At 39.8% G+C, this 26211-nt stretch overlaps 2 long non-coding RNA genes and 1 pseudogene across 3 annotated transcripts in view, besides 1 other annotated feature; 2 read left to right on the top strand and 1 right to left on the bottom strand.

Annotated features, from left to right (window-relative positions):
• The window catches only part of LINC00621 (long intergenic non-protein coding RNA 621), a 39978-nt gene that overhangs the window by 6019 nt on the left and 7748 nt on the right, over positions 1-26211 (top strand). Inside the window, exon 2 of the long non-coding RNA NR_138043.1 lies at positions 15313-15745. This is a non-coding gene — a long non-coding RNA (long intergenic non-protein coding RNA 621). The remainder of the gene's footprint in view (positions 1-15312; positions 15746-26211) is intronic.
• On the bottom strand, positions 1292-26164 carry LOC105370109 (uncharacterized). The gene is made up of 3 exons (NR_187640.1): positions 26056-26164; positions 6789-6941; positions 1292-1496 (listed from the first exon to the last, which is right to left on the bottom strand). It is a non-coding gene; the product is annotated as an uncharacterized LOC105370109 (long non-coding RNA).
• On the top strand, positions 12170-13321 carry BASP1P1 (BASP1 pseudogene 1; annotated as a pseudogene). The gene has a single exon (NR_033774.1). The product of NR_033774.1 is annotated as a BASP1 pseudogene 1 (transcript).
• Positions 23183-23684: an enhancer, noted in NCBI's record as "NANOG hESC enhancer chr13:23460806-23461307 (GRCh37/hg19 assembly coordinates)". NCBI's record gives its function as "activates a minimal SCP1, AML or CMV promoter by ChIP-STARR-seq in naive H9 embryonic stem cells {active_cell/tissue: H9 hESC(naive)}" and the evidence as "EXISTENCE:reporter gene assay evidence [ECO:0000049][PMID:30033119]".

Below are 26211 nucleotides of genomic sequence, written 5' to 3'. Positions count from 1 at the left end.
TATTTTTAGTAGAGACAGGGTCTCAAACTCCTCACCTCAGATGATCCACCTGCCTCAGCCTCCCAAAGTGCTGGGATGAGCCACCATGCCTGGTCTGAAGCTGTATATTTTCTAGCTCTAAATATATGTTCTGTGTTCCTAAGTGTCCCTAGACATGATTTATATTTTAATTGAGAACCAACATTGTACCTGGACTCCTAAGCCTCAGGGATTTACTGAAATACCATTCTATTTTATAATAATCCTTAACCAAGAATTTTAAGGATCTTAAATTTTTCTGTGGTTCTATTGTTATCTGATATATAGATGATCTGCTGCCATATCCTAAAGAGCAGGTGAGGCCGGGTGTAGTGGCTCACGCCTGTAATCCCAGCACTTTGGGAGGCAGACGAAGGTGGATCACCTAAGGTCAGGAGTTTGAGACCAGCCTGGCCAACATGGTGAAACCCCATCTCTACTAAAAATACAAAAATTAGCTGGGTGTGGTGGTGGGCACCTGTAATCCCAGCTACTAGGAAGGATGAGGCAGGAGAATCACTTGAACCCAGGAGGCGGAGGTTGCAGTGAGCTGAGATTGCACCATTGCACTCCATCCTGGGCAACAAGAGCAAAACTTCATCTCAAAAAAAAAAAAAAAAAAAAAAAGAACAGATGAGTTCCAGGAATGTTTTAAAAAGATAGAATTTTTAAAGGAAAGTAACAAAACCAATGCACTTGGTTTTGTCAAAACCAAGTGCATTACCAAAGATAGATTTTTCTAAAGAAGGCAAATCCCTTTCTCCCAACAAACTATAGCTCTTTTAAGACTTTCCTAGGCTAGTAATTAGGATACATTTAAAAAGATCCTGAGGCTTCCTAACTACTGCAAAAAGTGGGTCCCTACTGTTTCTGAAATCAGCTCAGCCAAGCCTTCACTAATTGACTCCTTTTGTTTGCAAACTAAACATAAAGAGGTATTTTGTAATTTAAAATCAGTCCTTCAATAACCTGTCCAGGACCTCTCTCCCCTTGCCTACCTAAACATGATTCTCTAGCTTTTCACGTATGAGTAGAAGTCCCTGGTGTGATGTGTGAACTTCATGGGAGGCATCTGAGACTCACTGCTTTCGGGCAGCCTTTCTGTTGATTCAGTAGCAAAAGGCTCATACTTTATCTAAGTCTAATAGCAGAATCAGCTGAGCTAGTGCAGGCTTCTGGCCACTTGGTTCTCGGGTTTAGTCTTCCCTATACTTAGTGGTCTCTGCTATGGTTTGAATGTGTCCCCTCCAAAATCAAGGTATTGCCAATGTGATAGTATTAAGAGGTGGTGCTTTTATGAGATGATTAGGCCATAAGACCTGCTTCTTTGTTAATGGGACTAAGTCCCTTTTAAAAGAGGCATTTCCTAGCATTAGTTTCTTCTCTCTTGCCCTTCCACCTTCTTCCATGTGAGGATGCAGCAAGAAAGCTCTCATCATTTGTCAGCATCTTGACCTTGGACTTCCCAGCCTCCAGAACTGTAAGAGAATTAATTTATCTTCTTTATAAATTATCCAGTCTCTGTTATTAAAATAGCTAGATATTCTATTATAGCAGCACAAATGTTCTAAGACAAAAATTGGTACCAGAGAAGTAAGGTGTTGTTATGAAAAATACCTAAAAACGTGGACGTGGATTTGGAACCAGGTAATGGGGAGAGAGGATGGCACAGTATTGAAGTTAATGCTAGAAAAAACCTAAATTGCCATGAACTGAGCACTAAGGGCAATTTTGGTGAGGGCTCGGAAGACAAAAGCTGTAGGGAAATCCTGAATCTTCTCAGAGATTATTTAAGTGGTCATGACAGTGAAGTTTCTTCTAATGAGGTCTCAGATGGACATGAGGAACAAGGTATTGGAGACTGGAAGAAAGGTCATTCTTGTTATAAAGTGTCAAAGAACTTGGCTGAATTATGTCCATATCCTAGGACTTTATGGAAGGTGGAACTTAAGAGCAATGAACTTACGAATGAAGAAATCTCTAAGCAGTAAGAACTTAGAATGGCTTCTTTTCTTTTTTTTCCTCTCTTTTTTTCTTTTCTTTTCTTTTTTTTTTTTTTTTTTTGAGACAAGTCTCATTCTATCACCCAGGCTGGAGTGCAGTGGCGTGATCTTGGCTCACTGCAACCTCCACCTCCTAGCTTCAAGCAATTCTCCTGCCTCAGCCTCTCAAGTAGCTGGGATTAAAGGTACACGCCACCACGTCCAGCTAATTTTTGTATTTTTAGTAGAGATGGGGTTTCAGCATGTTGGCCAGGCTGGTCTCCAACTCCTGATCTCAGGTGATCCGCCCACCTCAGCCTCCCAAAGTGCTGGGATTACAGGCATGAGCCACCGTGCCCAGCCTCAGAATGGTTTCTTTTAACTGCTTTTAGTAAAGTGCAAGAAGAGAGAAACTATTTACACAGATGGAATTTATAATTTAAAAATAAGCAGAATATAAAGGTTAGTGATTTATTAAAACTACATGTCTTATCTGTTGCCAGCATCATGTAGGCACAACTCAAAAATGGGACATGAACAAGAGCATAAGCTTCAGAGAGCGTTTGAACAACTACAGATGATCACTACACACTCAGTAGATTTTAAACGTGTTCTTCTCATTGTTCATTTATTTTGGGGATTGAATTGAAGCATTTCCTTTCTGAATACTTTCAGTTCCAATGGCAGCAAAAATATTACTTGATTTTGTGTTCCCAACCTACAAAATTCTAACCCATTTTTCAAGTGACAGAAAAAAACCATTGTACTGGCACTGTCATTAAAAACCTTTACAAAACCTTAACACTTACTCAGAAACTTCACTGCCCATATCAGCTTCACTATTCAAGAAAGATTAAAAAAAAAAAAAAAGAAGATTCAGAAACTAAAATCAGGAAAGCTCTCAGAAACCTTCAAAATTCCATAGCCCGAGGTATTGCCATGGCTTTAATGTCAATGCCATCAATTTCTTTGAGGTTCATAAACTCTTCCCTTATACATTAGTAACAGACTGGCCTACACAAATATCTACAAATGTCACCTCTGATTGTAGACTCTAACATATTGCAAATGGATACTGCGAAATATTGCAAGGAATTAATGCAACACATTCAACCTTATGATCCACAGGCACAGGCAACCTTTTCTCATAATCTTCCTAAAAACTTGCATGATCGTAAACCTGAAGATCTGGTGTTCTGACTTAAAGAAATAAGAGAAAAAGCTCTAGAACACGAATGAAAAAGTTGATATCAAATACTGCTAATAATGGACACAAGAGGGCAACTCCAATATATTGATCCTTAAAGTCTTTTAATTAAAGAGGCATAAATAATCTTAGAATCCCTGGAAAGATGTCCTAATCAGAAACTTCAAAGATAATTATTTGTGGACCCCTCTAGAAACAGTCTTGAAAGAAACAGAATCCAGCGAAGATTTTTGGATCAAGTTGACAACTGTGTTTAGTAGACAGTCTATGCTTATCTATGGAACAAGATGTAGATGACCAAACCTTCAGATTCTCATGCTTTAATCTGAATGCTTTTGTTCATTACCTTTTAGGTATTTTCTTCTGCTGTTGGGTGTGTGTGTGTGTGTGTGTATGCACATATCAGCTTTATTGAGATATAATTTACATTCTGTACACTTCAGTAATTTAAAGTGTATATAAATACAATGTTTTTAGTCCATTCACAGAGTTGTATGACTATCCCCACAATTAATTTTAGAACATTTTCATCATTCCCCAAAGAAGCCCTGTACCCACTTACAGTCACTCCCCTGTTCTCTCATCATCTCTAGCCATAAGTAACCAGTAATCTACTTTATGTCTGTATAGATATTCCTGTTCTGGACATTTCATATGAGTGAAATCATACAATATTGAACTTTTATTATTTGGTTTCTTTCACTTGGCATCATATTTTTAAGGTTCATCCATATTGTAGCATGTATTAGTACTTCATTTTTTTACCCGAATACTACATTTTATGAATATCCCACGTTTTATTTGCCTGTTTATCAGTTGATCAACATTTAGATTGTTTGCACTTTTTGGATGTTATTAAAATAGTGTACAATGAAAACTTGTGTACAAGTTTTTATGTGGACATACGTTTTTATTTCTCTTGTGTAGACACCTGGAAGTAAAACTAATGGACCATATAGTATCCCTTTGTTTTTTTATTATAGCCATACCAGCAGTTGTGAAGTGATATATCATTGTAATTTTGATTCAGATTTAATTGACAGCTAATAATGTTGAGCATCTGTTATTATACTTATTTGTCATTTGTATACCTTCTTCAAAGAAATGTCTATTCAGATCATTTTTTGTAGATGTTCTTTATCATGTTGAGAAAGTTCTCTTCTATTCCTAGTTTGTTGAGTTGTTTTTTCCCCTATCCTTAATGGGTGCTGGACTTTGTCAATTCATTTTTCTACATCTATTCAAATGGTCACATGGTTTTGTCCTTTATTCTGTTAATCTGATATATTATATTAATTGGTTTTCAGATGCCAAACCAATCTTGCATTCTTGGAACAAACTCCACTTGGAATGGAATATAACCTTTTTATTTGTTGCTGGATTTGGTCTACAAGTACTTTTTGAGGATTTTTGCACATATATTCCTAAAATATATTGTTCTGTAGTTTTCTTTTTTGTGCTATCTTTGTTTGGTTTTGGTATCAGGATAATACTAGCCTCACAGAAAGAGTTGGGAAGTGTCTGCTCCTCCTCTCTACCTTTTGAGAAGAATTGGTACTAATTCTTCTTTAAATTTTTGGTTTTATTAAGCATTAAAGCCACCCAGGGCTGAGCTTTTTTGTGTGTGGAAAATTTGAAAATTACTAATTTAACCTATTTATTTATTACAGGTCTATTCAGATATTCTATTTTTTTCTTGAGTAATCTTTAGTAGTTTATGTCTTTCTAGGAATTTGTCAATGTTGTCTATGTTGTCTAACTTATTGGCATACAGTTTTTTGTAGTATTCCCTCAGTATTCTTTTTATTTCCATAAGGTCTGTAGTAATGTTCCCCCTTTCACTCCTGATTTTAATAATTTGAGCCTTCTCTCTTTTTCTCTTGCTCATCCTTGTGAAAAGTTTGTTAATTTTGTTGATGTTTTCAAGGTACCAACTTTTAGATTTGTTTATTCTACCTATTGTTTTTGTATTCTCTCCTTTATTTTTCACTTAACATTTTATTAGTTCTTTCCTTCTGCTCACTTTAGGTTTAGTTGCTCTTCTTTTTCCAGAATTGTATGTGGAAGATTGGGTTTATTTATATGAGCCCTTACTTCTTTTTTAGATACAAACATTTAAATAATAAATTTCCCTTTATGCACCATTTCACTGCATTCAATACATTTTCGTTTGTTGGGCCCTCATTCTACATAATCTTAAAGTATTTTCTAATTGACTTTGTAGTTTCTTCCTTGTCCCATTATTTATTTAAGAGTGTGCTGTTTCCTTCTGTTATTTGTAGGTTCTGGATTATTAGCAAATAATTGTTACCACTAAAGTACCTATTTTTTGCACTGCTAGTCATTCCTTGGAATGATATTAATAAATACCTACAATTTACTTATAATTTGGCAACAAAAATGCTATAAACTGACTGTTAGATTTGTATACAATTTCCTTTGGATTCTACCCAGTTTACTTTTGGTACTCTTGCAATGAAACCAAATAGTATCATAGACACAACCTCTGTAGCACATTTTAGGTGGAAAACACTGTCACAGAATTTTAACTACCAGATCTGTTTTAGGCCATACAGTTTGCTCTTAGTTTTATCAAGAGAATTTTTAAGGCTTGCTGCGACACTGCTATGTGTCCTTTTCAAAATCTGTTCTTTTCATTACTTACTTAGAATAAGATCTCTCTAAAATTTTAAATTAATAGCACAGAGAGAGAGGCTGGGAAAGCAGCCTTTTTATGTAAATGAAACCTCTTAGGTAGTAAAAAAAACCCCAAAAAGCTGAGAAAGTGATCACACAGTTTAAATACAGTCAAGATCTCTGAGCATAAGAAGAGGTCAGAGCCAGCTGATAGTAAACCTTGATCTTCAGCTACCAAATCTCAAAATGAAACTCCAAATGAGTTTGTTATTGGAGATGGGGACCAAGCTGAAGATTGCTCTTCATCATAGAAGCAGTAAACTCTAAGAAAAGGAGCTCTTCAGCAGAGTAAACCTCAGATCTCAACCACAAACTTTTGTGAGATCAGCAATCTCTGGAGGAAGAAGCCTCCAGACCTCAGCCAATTGTCCAATTGGTCAAAGTGATAAAGAGCTTCAGCAAGTACCAGGGCCCTGATAGGAGAGTTGCTGCAGGTCAGGGCCAAACTCCAGTCAGATAATTCCCTTGTTGCCAAAATGTAAACCAGTAAGTGACTGAGGCAGATCTCAATTGACTAGAGGTTTATTTTGCCAAGGTTGAGGACACACTTAGGAAACAGATGCAAGTTACTGTAGGATCTGTGATCCATGCATTTTCCAAGTATGGTTTTGGGAACTTCAATATTTAAATAGGAAAGAGCAAGCGGGGAGGTGGGGGTGGGGTGAAGAAAAAGAGGCAGGATAGGCAATGAGGCAAGTGGTTACATTCTTGTGACGTTTGATTAGCATTCAGTGAGTCTATGTTTTAAATGTGCAAAGAAGGTAGTAGAAAAAAAGTCACTTAAGCACTATTCTCATGCTCAGTACATCTGCATTTTACATAAAATAAAGCATGTGAAATTGCAGCTATCTGTTTGGGAACAGAAAGCTCCCCTTCTTACTCACCACGGGGATTGCTTTAAGAGTACTTGGGTGTCTTCCAGCTAGTTTTCCATTCCAACCGTCGCTCCAGCAACCCTTTGACCTGGATTCGAGCCTCCACGAATGGACGCCACTTGCCGAGACCAGCTCGCTCGGGGAGACTCTAACCCAATGGAGCTAGAGGAATTAAGGACATACACACAGAAATACAGAGGTGTGAAGTGGGAAATCAGGGGTCTCACAGCCTTCAGAGCTGAGAGCCCCGAACAGAGATTTACCCACATATTTATTAACAGCAAACCAGTCATTAGCATTATTTCTATAGATATTAAATTAACTAAAAGTATCCTTTAAGGGAAAAGAAGGGATGGGCCAAATTAATTGCAGCAGGAACAAGCCCTTAAGACACAGATTGCTCAGCTTTTGTTTGTGGCTTAAAAATGCCTTTAAGCAGTTTTCCACCTTGGGTGGGCCAGGTGTTCCTTACCCTCATTCCCGTAAACCCACAACCTTCCAGCATGGGTGTTATGGCCATTATGGACATGTTACATTGCTGCAGAGATTTTATTTATGGCCAGTTTTGGGGTCAGTTTATGGCCAGACTTTGGGGGGCTTGCTCCCAACAGTTTTAAATGTGCAAAGAAGGTAGTATAAGAAAAAGTTACTTAAGCACTATTCTCATGCTCAGTAAACCTGCACGTTACATAAAATAAAGTAAGCATGTGAAATGGCAGCTATCTGTTTGGGAACAAAAGGAAGATAGTTTTTTGCATGACTCAATTCCCAAGCTTAACTTTCCCTTTGGCATAATGAATTTGGGGTCCCAAGGTGTTATTTTTCTTTCACAGGAGAAGGTGTTTTAAATTTTGCTCATAAGAGTACACTTTACTCAGGCTGGCCATGGTGGCTCAAACCTGTAATCCCAGTACTTTGGGAGGCCAAGCTGGGCGGATCACTTGAGGTCAGGTTTTCGAGACCAGCCTGGCCAACATGGTGAAACCAGATCTTTACTAAAAATACAAAAATTAGCTGGGCATGGTGGCAGGTGCCTGTAACCCCAGCTACTCAGGAGGCTGAAGTGAGAGGATCACTTGAACCTGGGTGGCAGAGGTTGCATTGAGCTGAGATTGTGCCACTGCATTCCAGCCTAGGTGACAGTGCGAGACTCTGCCTCAATTAAAATATAAATATATATATATATATATATATATATATATATATATATATATACTTTACTCAAATGTTAAAAGCTGTAAATAGCTTAAAAGATAAAAAAGGTTTCTTGACTCTGAAAAACAAAATCAGCAAATGTTTTAAACAAAGAGTCATAAAAGATTATTTCAATTGTCTGTTAGTTCAGTCCATGCAGTTAACTTCTGGTCAATATTGGATCAGGAATCCTCATGAAAACATCAGCTCTCCATGAGAGTCCTGGAAGATTTTCTCTCCATTTCAATTACACGGTCTCTAAATGTGAATTCCACAAAGTTCTATAGCTGATTATAAACCACACTATGAAAGGATCAAAGTAATCAACAATTGTAGATGACAAAAGTTGTAGAGCAGCCATAGTTAGAGACACAACTGACAAGGAAATTTGGTTACTTTTGTGGCATATGACAATTTTACACATAATAATCGTAATTACTACTGACAACATATATTGAGACATATCAGAATCACAGGAATATTCTATGATTTTAGGACACACACTAATAACACATTTATGTAAATATAACCCAAAGTAGGTTAAACACCATTTCATATTTAACAATGCTTCCTGTATAATTTTTTTCTGTAGAAAATAAGCCAAATATGTCTGTTTTGGACTTCAGGGGACCTAATATCAAAACATTAGTGAGGTCAAAAGGACTGAATTTAGTATTTGATTTTAGAAAGTTTGTCAAATATGAAAAGTTTAAAACACAGGATATCACGAAATAGGATCACAGGTCATTGTAAAATAAATAAGTCATTCATTTAGCCAAAATGATAACTCAAAGATGTAAAAATAAATGGCCAAACCCTTTATACTTTGAGACAGGAGACTTAATTTCCCAAACAGTAAGCTCTAATAAAGATAGCATTAGGTCAAGACCAATTAAATGTCTCTCAAATCTTATAAATAAATCTACTAAATTTTAAACAACTTGACTAAAAGATATAATTCAATAAGCCTTTTTATAACCTTTTATATTTTTTAAAAAAGTGGATTAATGCTCCACAAAAGCCATATTAATCTGACACAGGGGCCCAGTTGCTGGTCTTGCATCAGTGTACCTTTGATACTAATGTTTAATTTATAGAGAAACCCTGAACTAATTTTCTTTCTCAAAATTGGCCCTTACAATCTCACGTGCTCACCTCTTCTGCAGTAGTCCCTGGGATTGGGGAGTTGAAGAGTTTTAATTTCTGTCCCTGTGTCTTATTATAAACACACTTTGTTTTGACTGTCATCTTCTCCTGGGTCTGAAGATGAGGCTTTAACTGCTGTCAATGTTTAAAAGTTAGCAGGGTTTGGTGTCTTTTTCAGACCCAGGAATCAATGGAGTCAAAGCCCTGTAACTTAACAGCACAAGGATTTCAAAAGCAACACAAAGTTAAATAGATGTAATAATGAGAGGTGACAGCGTGCTGGCAGCCCTCACAGCCCTCGCTCACTCTCGGCACCTCCTCGGCCTTGACGCCCACTCTGGCCATGCTTGAGGAGCCCTTCAGCCCGCCACTGCACTGTGGGAGCCCCTTTCTGGGCTGGCCAAGGCCAGAGCTGGCTCCCTCAGCTTGCGGGGAGGTGTGGAGGGAGAGGTGTGGGCGGGAATCGGGGCTGCGCGCAGCAATTGCGGGCCAATGCCAGTTCCGGGTGGGCGTGGGCGCCGGCCCGCACTCGGAGCAGCAAGCTGGCCCCGCTGGCCGGGGCAGTGAGGGGCTTATCACCTGGACCAGCAGCTGCTGTGCTCAACTTCTCCGAGGGCCTTAGCTGCCTCCCTGTGGGGCAGGGCTGGGGACCCGCAGCCCACCATGCCTGAGCTTGCTCCCGCCCCAGCCGTGGGCTCCTGCCCAGCCCCAGCCTTCCTGAGGAGCCCCGCCCGCTGCTCCAGGGCGCCCAGTCCCATTGACCACCCAAGGGCTGAGGAGTGCAGGCGCATGGCACGGAACTGGCAGGCAGCTCCACCTGTGGCCCTGTTGCGGGATCCACTGGGTGAAGCCAGCTGGGCTCATGAGTCTGGCGGAGACTTGGAGAACCTTTATGTCTAGCTAAGGGATTGTAAATACACCAATTGGCAGTCTGTATCTAGCTCAAGGTTTGTAAACACACCAATCAGCACACTGTGTCTAGCTCAGGGTTTGTGAATGCACCAATCGACACTCTGTATCTAGCTACTCTGGTGGGGACTTAGAGAACCTTTGTGTCCACACTCTGTATCTAGCTAATCTAGTGGGTAGGTGGAGAACTTTTGTGTCTAGCTCAGGGATTGTAAACGCACCGATCAGCACCCTGTCAAAACGGACCAATCAGCTCTCTGTAAAACAGACCAATTGGCTCTCTCTAAAATGGACCAGTCAGTAGGATGTGGGTGGGGCCATATAAGAGAATAAAAGCAGGCTGCCTGAGCCAGTAGTGGGAACTTCTGGCTTTGAGTCCCCTTCCACACTGCGGTGTTCTTTCGCTCTTTGCAATAAATTTTGCTGTTGCTCACTCTTTGGGTCCTCACTGCCTTTATGAGCTGTAACACTTACCACGAAGGTCTGCAGCTTCACTTCTGAAGCCAGTGAGACCATGAAGGCACTGGCAGAAACAAACGACTCCAGACGCACCACCTTAAGAGCTGTAACACTCACCGCGAAGGTCTGCAGCTTCACTCCCGCGAAGGTCTGCAGCTTCACTCGTGATCCAGCAAGACTACGAACCCACCAGGAGGAAGAAACTTTGAACACATCCGAATGTCAGAAAGAACAAACTCTGGACATGCCGCCTTTAAGAACTGTAACACTCACCGCGAGGGGCCGCGGCCTCATTCTTGAAGTCAGTGAGACCAAGAACCCACCAATTCCTGACACAGTAACTTTAACTTTAAAAATAAATGTAACTCAGTTTTTGTAAGTAAATCAAAACTTAATAACAATTATGTAGGACTTATTTCGATAAAACATAAATCTTTTTTGTTAGTCTAGTTACTAAAAGTCAAACAAAGAAAAAAAAAAAACACCCTCTGCAGTGTGACTGCTTTTCCATATAGGGAGTCTATTTAGAGAACCTGAAAGTCAAAACTAATGAAAATGTATTTGAACTAGTTAGACATAGGAAGAGTGTTTCCTGGGTTACAGGAAACATTAAGTGAACATTTTTGGTTTCATAGAACAATTTAAAGCCAAAGCACAGAATGTTATACTGGGAGAAAATATTTCCTTTATAACTTTAAGATAAAATGTTTTAGTATCAGGCCACAATAGCAGTTAAAACCTGAACGAAAAATTTACAGGAGCTGACAAAGTTGAGAGAGAGAGAGATATCATTGCTGTCCTTCTCAAAGGTGAGATAGCTAAAAACAGCAAGATGCAATATAAATTGAACTTCTGGTGTAAAAAAAATGAAAATCTCATAATTTTATTAAAATAATATGTTAAGAAAGTTTTGTTGTTCTAACCAATTCCTTAGTGTATTAGTGTATTTTTCATATAGATCTCTAGAAAGTCTATTATAAATAATTTCCTTGTAATTGTAGACAACTTGATCACATAAAATTTTTTTCACATAAATCTTCTTTTTATAATCCCTTATTATGACATACACAAACCACTTATGACATGTTTGGACTTCCTGTTTTATTCTAAACATCCTTCTTTTCTAAATAACCAGTCATTTTATTTTAGGACAAAAATTTACCATACAAGATTCTTTCTCATATAAAATAATTTTCTTTTTAATCTTCCTTACACCAGAATACCTCTTTATATTTGTATCTGTCTTTACATCTCTCCTATTTACTGGTTCCTTTTATCCTGTTTCATGAATAACCTTTAAATTACACAAAAATAATTTTCCTTTAAATAAGAACACTTTTTTTTTTTTTGAGATGGAGTCTTGCTCCGTTGCTCAGGCTGGAGTGCAGTAGTGCAATCTCGGCTCACTGCAAGCTCGGCCTCCCAGGTTCACGCCATTCTCCTGCCTCAGCCTCCTGAGTAGGTCGAACTACTGGCGCCTGCCACCACCCTGGCAAATTTTTTGTATTTTTAGTAAAGACGAGGTTTCACCATGTTAGCCAGGATGGTCTTGTTCTCCTGACCTCGTGATCCGCCCGCCTTGGCCTCCCAAAGTGCTGAGATAACAGGCATGAGCCGCCACGCCCGGCCATAAGAACACATTTTTTAAGAAAAATGTTTTCCCGGTGGCAGTAGTGGCAGCTGCGACAAAGGCGGAGCTAGCACTACAACTGGCTCCTCGCTCTGGCCTCCGCCATGGAGCCAGGAGAGAGCCTCCGCCAGCGGCCAGGCATGAGCTAGACACCGCCAGGGACCCTGGCCTCTTGGGGGCACCGCGCTCACCCAGGGGCTGCACAGGCACCCAGAGCCAAACTCCAAGATGACAGGCAAACTCAGCAAGAAGAAGGGCTACAATGTGAACGACGAGAAAGCCAAGGACAAAGACAAGAAGGATGAGGGCGTGGCAAGGGAAGAGGAGGGTCCCCGAAGGAGAGTGAGCCCCAGGCAGCTGCAGAGCCCGCCGAGGCCATGGAGGGCAAGAAGTCTGACCAGGACGCGGAGGGCAAGGCCGAGGAGACAGAGGGCAAGAAGGATGCCACGGCTGCCAAGGAGGAGACCCCGAAGGAAGAGCCCGAGAAGACAGAGAGCGCGCAGAGGCCAAGGCTGACCCCCCGAGAAAGAGCAGGCAGCCCCCGTCCCTGCTAATGGCGGCGAGGCCCCCAAAGCTGCCGAAGTCACCACGGCCCGGGCCAAGAGCGCGGACCCTACCACTGGGGAGGAGCCCAGCAAGGAGGAAGGGAAACCTAAAAAGACTAAGGCGCCTGCAGCTCCTGCCACCCAGGAGACCATAAGTGACGGGCTCCAGCATGATACGCAAACCGCAGCAGCTCGGAGGCTGCCCCCTCTTCCAAGGAGACCCCCCGCAGCCAGGAAGCCCCTAGTTCCACACCCAAGGCCCGGGCCCCCACAGCCTCCGCAGAAGAGCCCAAGCCGGCGGAGGCCCTGGCAGCTAATTCCGATCAAACTGTAGCCATGAAAGAGTGACAAGGACAGCCTATGGGAAAAATAATACCACTTAAAACAGTCTCCCCTCTCTCAATCTTTTCTCTCTCTCTCCTCTCCTTTCTCTCTCTCCTCTCTCTCTCTCTCCTCTCCTCTCTCTCTGCCTCTCCTCTCCTCTCTCTCTCCCTCTTATACTAACTTGTTTCAAATTGGAAGTAATGATATGTATGCCCAAGGAAAAATAAAGGATGTTGTCCCATCAAGGGAGGGAGGGAGTGGGAGAATGCAAATAGTATTTTTGTGGGGAAATATCTAATATAGCTTCAGTCAACTTTACCAAGAAGTCCTGGATTAACTCAGGATTTAGCTGTTTTCATTAAATCAACGATATCAAATGCCCTATTTATCAACAAATTACACCAACAAATATAGTACTCTTGTGGGCTGCATTTCTAGCTTTATAAACCTCATGCCAAATTTTGACAACTTATAATATCTAGTAGAGGTAAATGTTAAACTGCCTGACCAATGACTCTAAACAACAATGTATATTGACAATTCTGAAGATATTTCTAATTTTATTTTACCAATAACTTTAAAACCAGCTTATTTATTAAGAATTTACTTAAGTTACATAAACTTGAAAAAGCATTTGGGCTTAAGGTTTCTATTTTTCTAATAAAGTATTTGATTTAAGCCCCTTTTTTCCCTTTAAGGCCAAATAATTAGAGCTGTTTTATATATCTTTGATAATGAAACATATACATGACACATAAATACAGACATGTATTAGACACACAGGTAGAAATAGATCTTAGATTTGTAAGACCTCCTCTTTTTTCCCCTCTTATTTTAGACTTCCAATTTTTTTTTTTTTTAGATGCAGTCTCACTCTGTGGCCCAGGCTGGAGTGCAGTGGCGTGATCTTGGCTCACTGCAACCTCCATCTCCTGAGTTCAAGCAATTCTCCTGTCTCAGCCTCCTAAATAGTTGGAATTACAGGCAAGCACCACCACGCTCAGGTAATTTTTGTATTTTTAGTAGAGACAGGGTTTTGCCATGTTGGCCAGGGTGGTCTTGAATTCCTGGCCTTAAGTGATCCGCCAGCCTTGGCCTCCAAAAGGGCTGGGATTACAGGCACGAGCCACCTTGCCTGGCTCCAATTTCTTGATAATTTGTTTCATTACCCTAGGCAATTGTCAGGTAGATAGCCCTAAATTTGTATACCGAAGGAACAACTCTCAGGTGAAAATCAGCAAAATTTACTTCTCAAAGGAAAGAGAGAGAGAGAATCTGTTGTGTTAACAGGGTGATTAAAAAATGGATACCAAGTCAAACATAAAATTACAGAAATCTACCACAGGATTGTATAAAGAGACCAATCACACTTAGATAGTTTTAAACGTAGTCTCTGTTTTAACTGGATCTCTGAGCTCTGAGCACAGCCCACATTCAATCCTGGGTCTCCAAAAAGGAGAGAGAAATCATGGGACTAGGCCACATAATGCTTTTATGGTGTTACTTTGTTACAAAGATGTTGCTTGAGTGTCTAAGCACCCTTTCTTATTCTAAACTCCCAAGAGTAGCCCCTGTAATAATAACTATTTCAGTTAAAAAAAATCAGAAAACAAAATATAGAAGCAAGGAGTTTAAGATCTGAGAGGAACTTGTTTATACTCTTAGGGTTCCATAAGGAAAAACAGAGGTTTTGCCCCCAGAAGGAGTCTGGCATCTTCTCTGTTTTCTTTAAGGAATCCCAGCTCCAATTTCTTGATAATTTGTCTCATTACCATTGTTAAAATTATTTCCAGTGCCTCATGCAGCAGAGGGTGGGAAGAGAAAGGAGAGACAGGCAGAAGTAAATAGAAAAAGCAGAATTCAGTTGACTGAGAAGAAAAAAACTTTTTTACAAAAACACGTTCCTAGAAGACAAAAAAACATAAAGTCCTTTTACATACACACACACACACACACACACACACACACACACGGATTGCGGATACTATCTTTTAATTAAGCTGCCTTTTAACTGTTGAGGTCTTAAAAAATCCTTTTAAATATTATTACCATATTTTAGCTGGGAAAAGCTGCTGATATTTCAAAGGTAAAATAAATCTCAAACCAGAAAGGACTTGATTCATAACCAACCAACCCAGGCTGTCATGCTAAAAAAAAGGGCAGAATCTTTGCTGCTGAACTACTGCATAGGGTGACTACCATTGCTCCTTTAGTTTAGTTTGGCTAGCAGAAGGTGGTCTTGCCATGTAAATAAAGCCTCTCAGGTAATCAAAATGTTTCTTTTTTTACTTTTGCTGGTGTTTTTTTCTTTTCTTTTTTTTTTCAGCTACAGGAATTTAGCCAATTCAGAGGAAATCTTCCCCATAATTATGGAACTTTCTTACAGATTTTACCAAGTCTGGTCAACCCAATAAGAAAAAGACTGAAATAACAACAACAACTTCAACAAATAAAAAAAAACAGTTAAGCTAAATAAACAGATGATTGCAGAATTTATGTGATTACTGGGTACTCTAATGGTAAGGAGAAATTAAGACCAGCTAGTTGTTAATCTTAACTTTTAGTCATTAAGGAGAATTTCCAAGACAAAACTGCAATCCAGCTGCTTACCTAGGAATACGGCTTAGGCTGAAAACTTCTATCGTCTTAGAAATGGGAATAAACCTCACACTCACCGTCCCTGTTGGAAGCAAGCTGAAACTCCAAAAAAAAAGTTGCCTGTTGTCCATCATCATGGTGAAGCGGCGTCGTTGTCTGGGGTAAGTACCTGGGGTTCATTGTCTCGTACCAAGATTAAGGACAGAGTTCCCTCCATTGTTCATTGATTTGTAAACCAAAATGTATCTGTGACAGGTATTAATCAATTGAGAAGAGTTTTTTATTTTTATTTATTTATTTATTTTTTGCCAAGGTTCAGGACAGATCCAGGTGTCTTTCTCCAAAGATGATTATGATGGTGTTAATATTTAAAGGGGAAAGTGGCCTAGAGGGGAACAAGGGAGGGTATGATCATATTACTGTATCCACATGTTGCAGGAGAAATGGAGCAGGTACAGGAATAGTCAATTATGTGTTCTTCTCATGCTCAGTAAATCAGAACTTTACATAAGTTCAGGTGAACATAGAGTAGCTACCTGGGGAGATATTTCACCTTTTTATCTGTAGTGCTCTGCTTAAGAACAAAGGAAAAAACAGCTTCTTGCATGATTCAGCTTTTAGCTTAATTTTTTTCCTTTAGGCATAGTGAATTGGGGTCCCAGGTTTTTATTTTTCTTTCACAAATTAAAACTGATATTTAGACTATTTCTCGGTCCACTAAATTTCTCTCATCCTAAACTCCTGCTAACCACATGTACTCTCTCTGTTCATTTCCCTATTTATTTATATCAGCACTTCCTTCTTCTTGCCAACTTCGGTGCCACATAAGGGAAAAACAACAGAAATCTAACACCCTGGGATACCTTCAGAGAAAACAGAAAAGACACTGCAGACTTCTTTTTGGGAGAAACTCCTGTGTTTTTTTTTTGTTTGTTTGTTTGGTTGGTTGGGTTTTTTTGTGTTTTTTTTTGTGTTTTTTTCTATCAGGGAGTCCTAAGAACTGTAAACGAACATGTTAGCACTAGAGAACATATCCTAGTCATGTGGCACCAAAGTATGTTACTGGTGGCAAATGCATACACGTCTGCAGCAACCTCAATTCCTGCCTGCTCAGAAGAAAGAATTCAGCTGAGGGGCATAAGGCACAGTGAGAGACTGAGGCAAGTTTTAGAGCAGGAGTGAAAATGTACTAAACAGTATTAGAGCAGGAATGAAAGGAAGTAAAGTACACTTGGAAGAGGGCCAAGTGGGCAACTTGAGAGGTTAAACTGCATGGTTTGAGTTTTGATTTGAGGTTTTACGTGTTGGCATGCATTCAGGGGCTTGTGTCCCTTCTCCCCTGATTCTTCCCTCCGGGTAGGAGGGAAGAATCCACCTGAGCAGTGGCCTGCCAGCACTTGAGAGGCTCCGCAAGCACAAGTGTGTTTATGGGAGTTGTGCACATGCTCAGTTGAGGCATTCTTCCCTTACCAGTCGAGTGTTTCTAGAGGAAGGTCATAGACTAATAGTCTAATAGTCTATGACCTTTAGTCATACTAGTGCACATGCCTGAGCCCACTCACCTGTGAACCCCCAAAATTTGAGACAGGTCTCAATTAATTTAGAAAGTTTATTTTGCCAAGGTTGAAGACATGCCCAGTGACATAGCCTCAAGAAGTCCTGATGACATGTGCCCAAGGTGGTCCGGCCACAGCTTGGTTTTATACATTTTAGGGAGACATGAGACATCAATCACTATGTAAGAAGTACATTAGTTCCGTCCGGAAAGGCGGAGACAGCTCAAAGCAAGACCCCCTATTGGGGGCTTCGAAGTAACAGGTAGGTGAGAGACAGATGGTTGCATTCTTTTGAGTTTCTGATAAGTCTTTCCAAAGGAGGCAATCAGAATATGCATCTGTCTCTGTGAGCAAATGGATGACTTGAATAGAATAGAAGGCAGATTTGCCCTGAGCAGTTCCCATCTTGAAGGGACCCAAGATATTTTTCTTTCACATTTTCCCCTTTTCTTTTTTAACATCTTTGGAGAAAGCATTTTTACAACAGAATGAGTCTCCAGTCTCAGGAAAGGTCATCTGACCTTTCCTGGCTAGGACGGTTTATTCCTAGATTGGTAGGTCTGGAAAGTTCATTTTTAGCAGGTTGTGAAGTCTCATGTCCTGTGAAGAGAAAATATGGGGGAGGAAGGGATGAAAAAAACAACAAACAAAAGAACAATCCTGAAAAAATTGATATAGGCCACATTACTCTGCAGTCCATAATAGTAGGCAGGTATGAAAGTGGCTTATGTACGTAAATAGGTTATGTTATATTTTTCTGAAGTTTAAGTTGTCTGGCTTCAGTTCCCAGGGTTTTTAGAAAGCATAGCTTAGTTTTCAGTGACTCCAAATTGGGAAAAATTGAGAAAAAAAAAAGAAGGAAAAAAATTGAAAACATTATTTTGAAGGCTTGTAGCCAAGAAAAATTAGAATTCAGTCCAAACTCTAGAAAAATAATAAAAATTGAAAAAAAATAGGCAAGACTAGACTCTAACAACAGGTGTACAATTGTTTTAGAAGATAATTTGTTTTTCTCTCTTCAGTTTCGCATATTACTAAAGACAAATCATGGTAGGATTGGTTTGTTTATTATACTTGGCCTAACTATTTGTATACAATGCAGCAAGAATGATTATTTTTTACTTAGGCTTTTAAGTAGGCTCTGATGGAACTTTGTTCCATAGCAGGAATCTCAGATAAGACTTTGTAAAACCCGTAAAACCCAGCCGAGCCATGGATTTATGCCATTAAATACCCATGAGTTGGGTGAAATTTCCTCTCCTTTTGAGGGCCCAAGATAAACCTGGGGCGTCTGCACTTGTCAAAAAGTGATATTCTTTACTTACACAGTCAGAAACCCTGTTCAGGGACTGTGTATACAGAATATGAGGCCAGTTTTTCCAAGGGCTTTATTGGCTCCGTAAGTCAAGTTTGATTCCTTATAAGGAAAGCACATGATTCCAGTCAAAGCCTTGGTAAAATAACCAAATTCTCCAAATGTGTCCTGTTACAAATGAAAACAGATTCTTACTGCACTTATGCAAATAACTGTATTGCCATAAGTTAAGAATACTCACAAATAGTTTCCAAATTCTGGATAAATCAGATAGAAACAACTATGCCACAAATTTTGTTCATAGGAGTATACTAAATTGTTAAAATCTGTCAGTAGCTCAAAAGAAAAGTCATAAGACTCGGAAACGCAAAACAAAGGACCAGCAAATATTTTGAGCAAAAAGTAAAAAAGATTGGTTCAGTCCATGCAGTTAATTCCTGTTAATTCCTGCTTGATACTCATGAACATTTAGCTCTCCATGAGTCCTGAAGGTTCTTCCTCTATTCTGTTGTCACAATCTCCAAAGTTATCAGAAACCTGCATTCAAGAGCACCTATTGGAGTTTTATAGCTGATTATAAAACCACCTCCTAAAGAGGACCAAAACAAGACAACAATTGTCCATGGATGAAAAAAAGTTGTTTTTGAGACGGAGGCTCCCTGAGTCGCCCAGGCTGGAGTGCAGTGGTGTGATCTCTGCTCACTGCAAGCTCTGCCTCCCAGGTTCACCCCATTCTCCTGCCTCAGCCTCCTGAGTAGCTGGGACTACAGGCACCCGCCACCATGCCAAGCTAATTTTTTTCTATTTTTAGTAGAGATGAGGTTTTCACCGTGTTAGTCAGGATGGTCTTGATCTCCTGACCTCGTGATCGCCTGTCTCAGCCTCCCAAAGTACAGGGATTACAGGCGTAAGCCACCAGCCCGGCTGAAAAAAAAAGTTTTAAGGCAGCCATAGTCGAAAGGCACAATTGACAAGGAAATTTGTTGCCTCTGTGGCACACAATAATTTTAACATAACAATTATGATGCCGGGTATTTGGTGCCTGGCACAAGACTTTTTTTCTTATATAAAATTATTTTTCTTCAAGCTTTTTTTACCTCAGAAAAATACCTCTTTATTTTTACAACTTTCTTTACATATTTTTTATTTCCTGGTTCCATTTACCTTGTTTTATACATAATGTTTAAATAAGCTTTGAATTAGACATAAATTTTTCACTTTTCTTTTTAAAAGGACACACTTCTCTGTTTTTGTTTTTTTTTTTTAGCAAGAATGTTTTCCTGCAATATATATTTATTGGAAAATACCCAAGTAATGAAACATCTATTATTTAATTTAATATAACTTTATATTCTAAATTATGACCAGTTTGTCTACAAGTATTTTTCCCATTACATTTGCCTAATTATCTATTTTAATTATTTACCTAGATTATTTATGAATACTGTAATAGTCATGAATTTAAAGTTATGAAACTGCTATTGAAAAATTATAACCAGCCAGGCATAGTGGCTCACGCCTGTAATCCCAGCACTTTGGGAGGCTGAGGCAGGTGGATCACGAGATCAGGAGATCGAGACCATCCTGGCTAACATGGTCAAACCCTGTTTCTACTAAAAATACAAAAAATTAGCCAGGCGTGGTGGCGGGGTGTCTGTAGTCCCAGCTACTTGGGAGGCTGAGGCAGGAGAATGGCATGAACCCGGGAGGCAGAGCTTGCAGTGAGCCAAGATCGCACCACTGCATTGCAGCCTGGGCGACTGAGCGAGACTCTGTCTCAAAAAAAAAAAAAAAAAAAAAAAAAAAAAAAAGAAAGAAAAATTATAACTGAGACAGTGAAAAAAGATTTGATCTAGGCCGGGCACGGTGGCTCATGCCTGTAATCCCAGCACTTTGGGAGGCTGAGGTGGGTGGATCACCTGAGGTTGGGAGTTTGAGACCAGCCTGACCAACATGGAGAAACCCCGTCTCTATTTAAAAAAAAAAAGAAAAAAAATGCAAAATTAGCCTGGCATGGTGGTGCATGCTGTAATCCCAGTTACTTGGGATGTAGCAGGACAAGCTGCAGGCAAAACCTCTCAGACACCGAGTTGTAGAAGGAAGGGCTTTATTCAGCTGGGAGCATCATCAAGCTACTGCCTCAAAATCTGAGCTCCCCGAGTACACAATTTCTGTCCCTTTTAAGGGCTCACAACGCTAAAGATTTCACATGAAAGGGTCGTGATTGATTTGAGCAAGCAGGGGGTACGTGACAGGGGCTCCATGTACTGGTGGTCAGAGAAACAGAACAGGGCAGGGAGTTGCACAATGTTCTTTTATACAATGTTGGGAATCTATGAGTAACATCGGTTTCTAAGTTATGAGTTGATTTTTAACTACTGGGTTTAGGCCAGGCAGGCCCAGGCCTGGTTTTGGGCCTGGCATCAGGCTGCCTGTCTTTGATTTCATGTCCTTGTTTTTTTTCTTTAAACAGGTACTGAGTATAAAACAATATGAGAGGGTCTCTCTCTTCCCTCATTTCCCCCTTTGAGACTCTCACTTTTTATTAGTGGGAGTTCTCACTCTTATTTTTGCTACTTATGTCTTTTTGTGCAATAAATTGATAGTTATTCATATAGTACACTTGTGCTGAAGCATTTTGGTGAACTAAGGTAGTGATGAAGCTTTTTATCATTTGAAGAAGTACAGGTAGTAAACAAGGGAGCAGTAAGCAGGTTCTTATTACTATTATAACTTTTATTATAAGAGTTTTAAATTCTCCTAGTGCTGGGAACTAATTTTTAAACATGGCTTCAGGGCCAAATTCGTGCCACACTTGTACAGGCACATGTGTCAGTTTTGTCATATTTTTAACTATGTCTTTAACTACTTGCCTTTGATTATCTATGTATAGACAGTAATTAGTAAGGTTAAATGTCTTATAGACCTCTCTTTCAGCTGCTAGCAAGTAGCTGAGAGCCAATCTATTTTGATAGATAGCATTTTTTATCTGAGTTTCTTGCCGGGCCAGAATAGTCAAGGCTTGACCAGTTTTATTAGTGATGATTTCTGAAACAGCTTGTAACCATATGATTTGGTTGAGCATGTAGATGGGGGTCCGATATCCCCACGAGCCATCTTGTGCCCAAGTGGGGGGTCCGTAGTATTATATAATTTTTTAGGAGGTCATTCATCATCTTTTTAATTACCTATGGCTATGCTTCATTTTTCATGAGAAGCATAGATAGGGAAGCCCAGGAGTTCACCTGTTTTTATGGGCAGTAAAAAGAAAGATGGTTTAATGGTGCCAATTACACAGCTACCTGTCCACCGATCAGGCAGCTTAGCATAAGCTCTGTGTCCACATATCCAGTATAACCCGGTGGGGGCAGCCCAGTCCCGGTGAAATTCTGGGTGAGCCCAGACAGTCTGCAACCTTGGAAATTTACTGAATGGATCTCTTTCTGTGTAATTGGAGCTCCACCATGTAACTGTTTTGTGTGTGTGTGGTACTATTATAGTTTTTGTCCTAGGCAACTAAGTCATCCTACAGAATGAGTGAATTCTTTTTTTTTTTCTAGCTATGCAATATTGTCCAATAATTGAAACTTTTAGAACCTAGAAATGATCAGGGTGATTCTTTTGGGCTGAGAATTCATCAGGAACTGGGTCTGTAGGCACTAATTCTCAGGCTTCTTATGGCCATTGATCTCTTATTACAGTTGTTTTACAAACATAATATGAAGTGACATTTAGAGACTGGGCTACGTGCTCGGCTAATTGCAAAAACAAATTTTTGATTTTTCCTGGAGTCTCTGGTACTGGCACATTTAGTTCATCATAGAAAGTCTGAAATACTGGTTCTGGAGAGTGTCTTTGAACCTCTCCTTTTATTAGGATGTTCACGCTAGGATCTAGTCCCTTTCCATCAATGCCTAAAGATACATATTTTCCTTTATTACATTCTGGTTCTGAGGGGTTTGTGATTATCATTTCTAAAAGGTTGCAGCTCCCACTTGTGCAGGAGGGGCTGACTTTTCCTTTTTGGAGCCAAACAGGATCTTTTTTATCTTCTGTTCAAGTAGCCCAGATGACACAAGACCAGTATTGACACATCTCACATATGATTCTGGACAGATATACCTATTTTTTTTTTTACCGTGTAACTTTTTTTTCCAATTTAGAGAACCGCATCCTATTCCATGCTGCTTACTATCAATAGTGGCACAAGCGTCAAATTTTAAGGTTACATTTTTGGGACCCCTTTTTCTTCTGTTCTAGCTATTACTTTACTTGTGTCACTTAGAGAATGACCAGTTCTCAGTCCTACTTCAAAGACTGTGATCATAGGAGGTTCAAAGGGGTCATAGCACACATCGGGCTGGTCACTTCCTGGATTACATACTTTGTATTGGGTGTTATTATACAAACAGGTTCCTTTTGGAGTTCCTAGGCATTCATAATAACTATAAAATAATAGGACTGTAGCAATCTTTTGTCCTACTTCAGTGACTTGATGTATATACTGGAAACAGCCTTCAGTCTGAGGAAGGTCAGTTGAAGTCCTTACTATACAAGTCCAAATTTTAAGGAAAATGAGTCCCGCGATGAGTTTCCTCATGTTTTGGCCGTGCGTGGACCAGTCAGCTTCCGGGTGCGACTGGAGCAGGGCTTGTCGTCTTTTTCAGAGTCACTTTGCAGGGGTTGGCGAAACTGCTCCTATCCACATACAGCTCGCAGTCTACTGATGTTTAAGGTTGGTCTCGGAGGTTGGGCCTACTAGGGTAGACTGAGTCTAACACCTCTACACAGTTTATGTTCAACTGGGCTCTCTGATACCAGGAGTAAGGTGTGCAGGGTTAGGGTGTCGCAAACTTCAGTGGTTATGCGGGAATTTTCACAGAGCAAGCTTTGGTATCTAGTTAGTCTAGCATTCGTTAGCTAATGGTATCCTTTGGTATTTATTAAAATCATCACAGCATGGGGGGACTTTAGGTTTTGCCCAAGAGTTAGCTTATCTGCTTCTTATGCTAACAGGGCCATTGCTGCCAGGGCCCTTAGACATGGGGGCCAGCCTTTGGAAACCCCATCTAGTTGTTTTGAGAGATAGGCCACTGGCCTTGGCCAGGGCCCTACAGTCTGGGTTAAAACTCCAACTGCCATTTTTTTTCTTTTTGACACATGGAGTGTAAAGAGTTTTGTCAGGTCAGGTAGCCCCAGGGCTGGGGCCGACATGAGTTTTTCTTTTTAACTCATGAAAAGCTCGTTGCTGTTGGTTGTAATAGATGTAGTGTATCTAATTTACATTTTTATTGACTGTCATCTACCAAAATATTGACTTCAGTCCTGTAACTATTTGATTTCAAGCTTTAAATTGATCTGGTATTCCTTGCGGGGCTCCAATTGCATCTAAATATATACGAGAGTTGAAAGACCCATAAGGGGCTTCTCTCACTTTATGATGTCTTATTTTTTTTTTCCTCTGGTTGATGAAATGCCAGGGTGAAAGGGATAGCCAAATGGACTAAAGCACAAGTGCCACTTCTGGTTATTCGGCAGAGTGTCCAGTAAGTCCAGTAAAGGTCCACCGCAATACCACCACACATCCGCTCGGGGATGAGCAAGGGCTGACTGATTGATAAACTCTTGAAAATTCTTAAGCTCACTGCATCCCTTCAGGTCTCCAAGGAATGCTAAGTCTCCTCCCTGCCGTGAGAGACACGAAGTGAAGTTAGTGTTGGGAGATGGAAGCTGGATGGCCCTCGGTGGCTGCCCCCAGGGACTTCGGAATATAGCAGAGAGAGCTTGGCATGACTTATTATTCCAGGCTGTAGAATCCTGGAAAAGAGCTACCATGCAGCCCACACCTGGTCGACTGGAGGACCACCTAGTGGAAAGGGGACATTCTGAGCCTCTGCCCTGCCATGTGCACAAGCATAACAATTGCTTTTGTTTAACGTGCAGATGGAATATTTGATCCATTTCATCCAGGCATTTGCATCTTGGTATCCTGTCTTAATTGCCAAAGTTTGTTTTAAGTCTTTAACTTCTATGATCCTTTAGTAAAATGAATGCTTCCTTTAGCACCTATTTTTGTTAGTTTTTAGACCAAAGAAAGCTAAACACCATTTTATATTTAATAATGCTTCTTGTATGATTTTTATACCAGAGAAGCTAAATTTTATCTTTATATTAGTGTGTTATTAATGTTAAACTTAATTTTAATAAAACCTTGTAGACATATTTATCCAATTTTTCATGTTTGACTATAAGGTAAGATTTTATAGACTCTTTAACCTTTTATAATTTTTGTTAAAGAGCAGGTTGATGCTTTAAGAAAAATCTGTTGCATTTTTACTTTAATGTCTAGTCTACAGAAAAACTGGATGATACCTTTTTAACTTTAGTTAATATGTTTACACACAGAATTTTCTTTACAATTAACGTTTTAAAACTTGCTTAAACTTTTAAAACAATATTTTTTTAACCTTTTAATGTAGGTAAAAATTCACATTCTTATGCCTCCTTATAATCTTTTTATCAAAGGTATATTTTTTTATACACCTTGCACATAAACTGTTTCTTCAGTAGTACTCAGGAGGCCTTATTACTTTTAAGTTATACAACATTTTTTGCATAAAATTTTTGATAACATTTTTTCTTTCACAACTTTCACAGACAATTTTTTAACATGTCTTAACTTTCTGACTTATTACAAACTTTTTTTCTTTAAACAATCAGTTAATTTATTTCAGGACAAGAATTTACCATATAACATTCTTTTTATATAAATTCTGCCTCCCCCCTTTTTTCCCCTTTTTTAAAGCGAATTTTCTTTATGTCTTTGGACTAGACTGTCTAAGGCCACAAGATTAGAAGTTACCATAATACATGCTACACTTTTAACTTTTAGCAAACTTCACTTTTGTTGAAAACCTTGTAAGTTTGGGATTTCAATTATCCTTTGCTATTAATAAGACCTTGTTTAGTCTAAATTAACCTAGAATTGGTATAGATGGTCTTTTTTTTCTCTCTGCTGGTCTTTCCTTGCCTCTGCCAGCTGCTCATGCTGCTGTTCTCTTAACTTCTGTAGGGGGGAAGGGGGTCTAAAACCAGCTGTAACTGTCTATGTATGGAAACTGGTCTGGGTGCCTTGGCTTACAGGTTACCTTGTGCCATACCTTTGAAACAAGGGACCTGTCCAGGCTTCCTTCAGATGGCCAACCCACCTTTAATGCTGGCCAGTCTGTTTCACGCAAAGTTCTAAGTTTTCCTGGTGTCACAGTAGCACTGTAATCTCCCTTAAGTTCTTTCTTGAAAAAATTTTTTTTTTCTCCAAGACAGAATACCACGCTCACACCACACACACTCACCACAAGACAAAGAACGGGCAAAGAGGGCAAACACACACTTTTACCGTTTAAGCCAAACCAAAATCACGAAATTCAAAATCCGAGTACCAAAAAATTCAAGCCAAGTCAAAACCAAAACCAAACCAAAGTATCCAGCAATTCAAATCAAGTCAAATCCAGAACAAAAGTGCCAATGCAGGCACACCGTGGGTGATCAAGCCACGCTTCCACTCAGATGGAGTGGGGCAAGTTCCAAAGACTAGTCTTACCAACTTTTAGATGTCCAGACTCCAAGCGCCAGTTCCTTCCCAGTGTTCAGCCACTGTGTGGATCCTCCACGGGGGCCTGCTACGTGCTGCTCTGGCAAGGCGTTCCAATGGGGGCAATTTCCTAACCGGGAGCGCTCTTTGGATCGCGTCACTCAG

Source organism: Homo sapiens, chromosome 13, assembly GCF_000001405.40.
Source record: "Homo sapiens chromosome 13, GRCh38.p14 Primary Assembly".
Lineage (NCBI taxonomy): Eukaryota > Metazoa > Chordata > Mammalia > Primates > Hominidae > Homo > Homo sapiens.
This window is presented reverse-complemented; position numbering and strand designations above follow the sequence as displayed.